Source organism: Homo sapiens, chromosome 6, assembly GCF_000001405.40.
Source record: "Homo sapiens chromosome 6, GRCh38.p14 Primary Assembly".
NCBI lineage: Eukaryota > Metazoa > Chordata > Mammalia > Primates > Hominidae > Homo > Homo sapiens.
Window position 1 is genome coordinate 115004255 of NC_000006.12, and position 6000 is coordinate 115010254.

A 6000-nucleotide genomic window follows, 5' to 3' on the forward strand; every position below is an offset into this window, starting at 1 on the left:
TTTTATGTCAAACATGCAAATGCATAGTGCTGCCTATGGAATAATCTTCACAAGTACCATCACTTTAATAAAATACCTACCTTTATCTTCCTTATACACACATTATTCCAAGCTCACATCTGAGTCATTCTTCATGGAAAGAGCTAATCTCATTTCCTCATACCTGTCACTGAATCATGTTAAATATCTGAATAAGAATAATTACCTCGCAGCTAAATTTCCCTGACCTTCCTAGTTACAAAAAATGATTTTTTTTTTGCCACTCAGTAACAGTATCTCCTAGGATAACTAACTTATTCTGTAGAAAAGCATGCATGTTATTTTCATGTAACTAAACCATCAAATGGGTTCCAATATAACTTTTAAGATATTTAGGCTGTTATATCCAAGTTACCTTAATGAGGACTTTTGAAATATGATCTCATTTCAGTAACTTAACATTTTTTTTTTATTGTCTTGCCTCCTTATATAGAGAAATAATTGAAATATTTTGGTTTTCTCTCTGTCTCTTCTGTCTGTCTGGCTGCCTGGCTCTTTCTCACTCTCTGTCTTTTTCTGTCTCTCTCTCTCTCTGTCTCTCTCAAAGAAAGACAACAGAAAAGCTAACTTTAATACCTTGAGTTTCAGTGAGCTGACTGATTAATACGCTTGTGAATTCTTAATAAGAGAAGTGTGCATATTCATAGTGATGTTTATTAATTCATAAAGCAGCTGCTCAAAGGCAGCTAGTGGAGAACGACATCTCCTCCCACAGAATCCTCTTGGCAGTGATCAGGCCTTTTCCCTTCCTGATCGTTTTGAGTGCAGCCTTAACATTGAAAACTGATGGCCCTTTATCTGCCCTGGGAAGGGGAATCTCTCCTGCCAGCAGGAGGCCACAGGGATTGGAGTTTCAGATCTAAATCTCCCAATGTGTAGAGGCTGAAATAAAAAACTTAATGAGACTAGTAGAGTCCACAGCTCATTTCAATTATTTTTAATTGTTTTCAGATGCTGCCCGGCATGCTTCATTTAGTTCTGCAATAAACAGAGCATACAGCATGGTTGTGGATCTCACTAGAGACCCAAAGAAAACATCCCACAGGAAATGATGAAAAATAATAAGAGCATTATATGTATTGGAGCGTGGACCAGGCAGTTGAAGTGGAAAACACAGGGGAGGGTAGGACCGGTTCTGGTGCATCCTCTACTTGGAGATTCACAGGGAGCCTCACTTTTAATTCTTACCATCACTCCTGAAATTGAAATTCAGTGAATAAACAGTGAGGCCCACAGTGAAATCCACCCAAGCTGGCTGAAACTAGTCTTTACTAGGCTTCCTTCTCCTAAAGTAGTTCCTTCTTACCCTTGGGGAAAAGGATGACCACCTATTAGAGGTATTTGAGACCTCAACATACAGAAAGTTGCAGAATATTTGCTAATAATCTGAGAGGACTTGTTACACCAAAAGCACCTCCTAGCACCCTGATCTGAAATGTGAGTCAACATTTATAAAGTTGCTCAAAGATTTAATTGAAAACTCCCAAAAGCCACTATTGGATGTTATTGAAGAGCATACCATTCAAAAAAATTAAAATATTTGCTTTTAATGTCTTTAAAACGTTTCATCATTTTGTCCAGAAGACCAAGACATCATCATTGGGGCTTAATTGAATAGCATTGTAATACCTAAATGCACTATAGGAGTTATTGAACATAGTATTGAAGTATTTGGCTGCAAGTGAAAATCCTTTTTTTTAATTCCGTGTGCAATGATTCTCGACTCTACACACAAGGAGCCGTAAAGACTTAAAAATGATGTCCAGTTCCCACCTCCCAGACCTATTGAATGTGAATATCTGTGGATAAGGCTTGGGTATGTCATTTTTTACTTAAAGGTCTCCCAGGTAATTCTGACGTTTAGCCATGTTTGATGCCCTCTGACTCATAAATTCAGTAGTTTATGTGTAGAATCCCTCCCTAACATATGTACTCACAAAAGAGAAATATACATATATATAAAAAAAGAGAGAAATGTATACCTTTATGAATGTGTGTTATGTATATATGTACATATATACAAATATATTAAGTTACAAACAAATATATTAAGGGTGGCAAATATGCTGACTATGAGCACTTGCCCCCACCTAGGCACTCTGGCTCTGATGTGAATGCAGTGATAGTGGCTGCAAGTGATAAGCTGTGTAGGTGCTCTGGAGGGCAGCCATGGGCCATCATGGTACCTGGCCTCTGAAGGCTATGTCTGCTCTCCAGCCCATATCACCTTTTTTCCTGATATTTGTATTTTATGCTACTTTTTCCTGATAACAAAAGTCATCGTCATTAGGAATAATTACTGAAGGCATAAAAATAAAAACACAAATTAGCAGTGTTTTAACATTTCAAAAGTAATGATCCATATATTGGCATATTTTCTTCCATTTTTCCCTCAAGATATATATATTTGTATCACTATTGCAGATGGTTATATATATTTTTTATTAAATATTACATAACTAACATTTCCATTGTCCATTTTTCCATGTCCATCCCATTAAATACTGTTTCAACACATTTTAATGAATATACTTTTCCCTTTCCCTTATATTTATGTTCTATAACTTACCAAGAACCTATAGAAACTATTTCTAATGTTTTCTTTTATAAATAATAATTCAACAAATATTATTCTATACAAAAGTCATATATATAAATCTATATATAATTATTTATTTTTCTTTTCTTTTCTTTTTTTTTTTTTTTTTTTTGAGACATGGTCTCACTCTGTCGCCCAGGCTGGAGTGCACTGGTGCAATCACAGCTCACTGCAGCCTCGACCTGCTGGGCTCAAGTGTTCCTCCCTCAGCCTCCTGGACAGCTTGCACTACAGGTGTCAGCCACCATGCCAGGTTAATTTTTTGAATTTTTTTTTGTAGAGACAGGGTGTCACCATATTTCCCAAGCTGGTCTTGAACTCTTGGGTTCAAGCAATTTGCCCACCACAGCCTCCGAAAATGTTAGGATTACAGGTGTGAGCCATGGTGCCTGGCCATATGTGATTTATTTTTTAGAAAATATTGAAGATAAAAGGGCAAGTGAGGAGATTTTTAAAAATTCTTCACATGTGTTTCCCAATGAATAAAAGTTCATGTAATGAACTCTCACTTGGAGGGTAGAAGAGTGACTGTTTCACCTTTTCTTCAGTCATATTGAGAATTACAAATTACAAAATTTTTAGCTAATTTTACATTGAAACAATGTCATTGTTGTTTTAATATTAATCTCTTTCATTACCAGTGAAGATGGATCTTCTGGGAATTGTCTGTTCATGGCCCTTTTAGTGGTTTATTAGTGCTTTCCTCTCTATTTTACGACCTCTTTATATAAGGCACTAACCTAACGTTTGTCATATTTGTGGCCCATATGTTTCTAGATTTTAAATTGCCTTATAACTTATTTATGGTGTTCTTTTGCATCTAAATGCTTTTGTTTATACATTGCCAAGTTTGCCTATTTACATTGATACTTTTTATCATTCTGTGTAAGCTTAGGAAAACTTTCCCACCCCAGAATCAATGAACAATTTACATCTACTTTCTTCTAGTTTATTGTGCTTTCATTTCTCACTTTTAAATATTTAAATAACATGGAATTCAATTTGGTGTTGTATGAATTGCGAGCCAGCAAACTTGATTTTTCCCCAATACTAAATTTATTGAACAGTTCATTCCTTAATTATTATTCAATCTTATACATCCATATAGGTATGTTTATATTACAGACTATGCGATCTAATTTTTTTATTTTGTTCTAATATCAAATTAAAAAGAGGCCAGCTGTGGTGGCTCATGCCTGTAATCCCAGCACTTTGGGAGGCCGAGGCGGGCGGATCACAAGGTCAGGAGTTTGAGACCAGCCTGGCCAACAAGGCGAAACCCTGTCTCTACTAAAAATACAAAAATTAGCTGGGTGTGGTGGCAGGAGCCTGTAATCCCAGCTGCTCGGGAGGTTGAGGCAGGAGAATCACTTGAACCGGAGAGATGGAGGTTGCAGTAAGCCGAGATTGTGCCATTGCACTCCAGCCTGGGCAAAAAGAGCAAAACTCTGTCTCAAAAAAAAAAAAAAAAAAAAAGAAAAAAGAAAACTTCTGGACTCATACACTTAAAAATAGCTTGAAAATACCCTTTCATTTTTTTTCTCTTTTGTAAAACTTTCTCAAATGTTCTTTAAATTACATGTATACTTTTATTTTGTCTGTAAGATTTTATTTTAATTTTGCCTCTATTTAAAAACTGTTGCGTACTTGAGTCATTTTATTTTTAAAGCCCATCCTAAGAAACTTAACCATTCAATGAGATTAATTTACTTAACTTTATTGGCATCTCTAATATGTTCAAACATCTGTCATCATTTTGTTGGCAAGTTTTCTATTTTTCTTTTATTTGTTTTTTTAGCTGCCTTGCTCATTAATTTGTTTTTTGATTTGCTAGGTGTGTATTTGTTTCTTACTATTTTTGTTGAGAATATATTTATGATTTCTCACTATAAAAGATAAAAACTTTCTCTCAATATTTTCAATCTTTGTAAATTTAATATACAGTAATATACTTAATCTATTAGTACATAATTTTTTCTTTAATAATACAGTTCTTTTTTTCAGCAATAACTAACTTTTGGATTAGTCATCATCAAGTAAAATACAAATACTCCAATAGAAACATAGATATCATTTTCTGGCAGGGGAGGAGCCAAGATGGCCAAATAGGAACAGCTCCGGTCTACAGCTCCCAGCCTGAGCGACACAGAAGATGGGTGATTTCTGCATTTCCATCTGAGCTTTGAAGAGAGCAGTGGTTCTCCCAGTACGCAGCTGGAGATCTGAGAACGGGCAGACTGCCTCCTCAAGTGGGTCCCTGACTCCTGACCCCCGAGCAGCCTAACTGGGAGGCACCCTCCAGCAGGGGCACACTGACACCTCACACTGCAGGGCATTCCAACAGAACTGCAGCTGAGGGTCCTGTCTGTTAGAAGGAAAACTAACAAACAGAAAGGACATCCACACCAAAAACCCATCTGTACATCACCATCTTCAAAGACCAAAAGTAGATAAAACCACAAAGATGGGGAAAAAACAGAACAGAAAAACTGGAAACTCTAAAAATCAGAGCGCCTCTCCTCCTCCAAAGGAACGCAGCTCCTCACCAGCAATGGAACAAAGCTGGACGGAGAATGACTTTGACGAGCTGAGAGAAGAAGACTTCAGACGATCAAATGACTCTGAGTTACGGGAGGACATTCAAACCAAAGGCAAAGAAGTTGAAAACTTTGAAAAAAATTTAGAAGAATATATAACTAGAATAAACAATACAGAGAAGTGCTTAAAGGAGCTGATGGAGCTGAAAATCAAGGCTCAAGAACTACGTGAAGAATGCAGAAGCCTCAGGAGCCAATGTGATCAACTGGAAGAAAGGGTATCAGTAATGGAAGACGAAATGAATGAAATGAAGCGAGAAGGAAAGTTTAGAGAAAAAAGAATAAAAAGAAATGAGCAAAGCCTCCAAGAAACATGGGACTATGTGAAAAGACCAAATCTACGTCTGATTGGTGTACCTAAAAGTGATGGGGAGAATGGAACCAAGTTGGAAAACACTCTGCAGGATATTATCCAGGAGAACTTCCCCAATCTAGCAAGGCAGGCCAACGTTCAGATTCAGGAAATACAGAGAATACCACAAAGATACTCCTCGAAAAGAGCAACTCCAAGACACATAATTGTCAGATTCACCAAAGTTGAAATGAAGGAAAAAATGTTAAGGGCAGCCAGAGAGAAAGGTTGGGTTACCCTCAAAGGGAAGCCCATCACACTAACAGTGGATCTCTTGGCAGAAACCCTACAAGCCAGAAGAGAGTGGGGGCCAATATTCAACATTCTTAAAGAAAAGAATTTTCAACCCAGAATTTCATATCCAGCCAAACTAAGCTTCATAAGTGAAGGAGAAATAAAATCCTTTACAGACA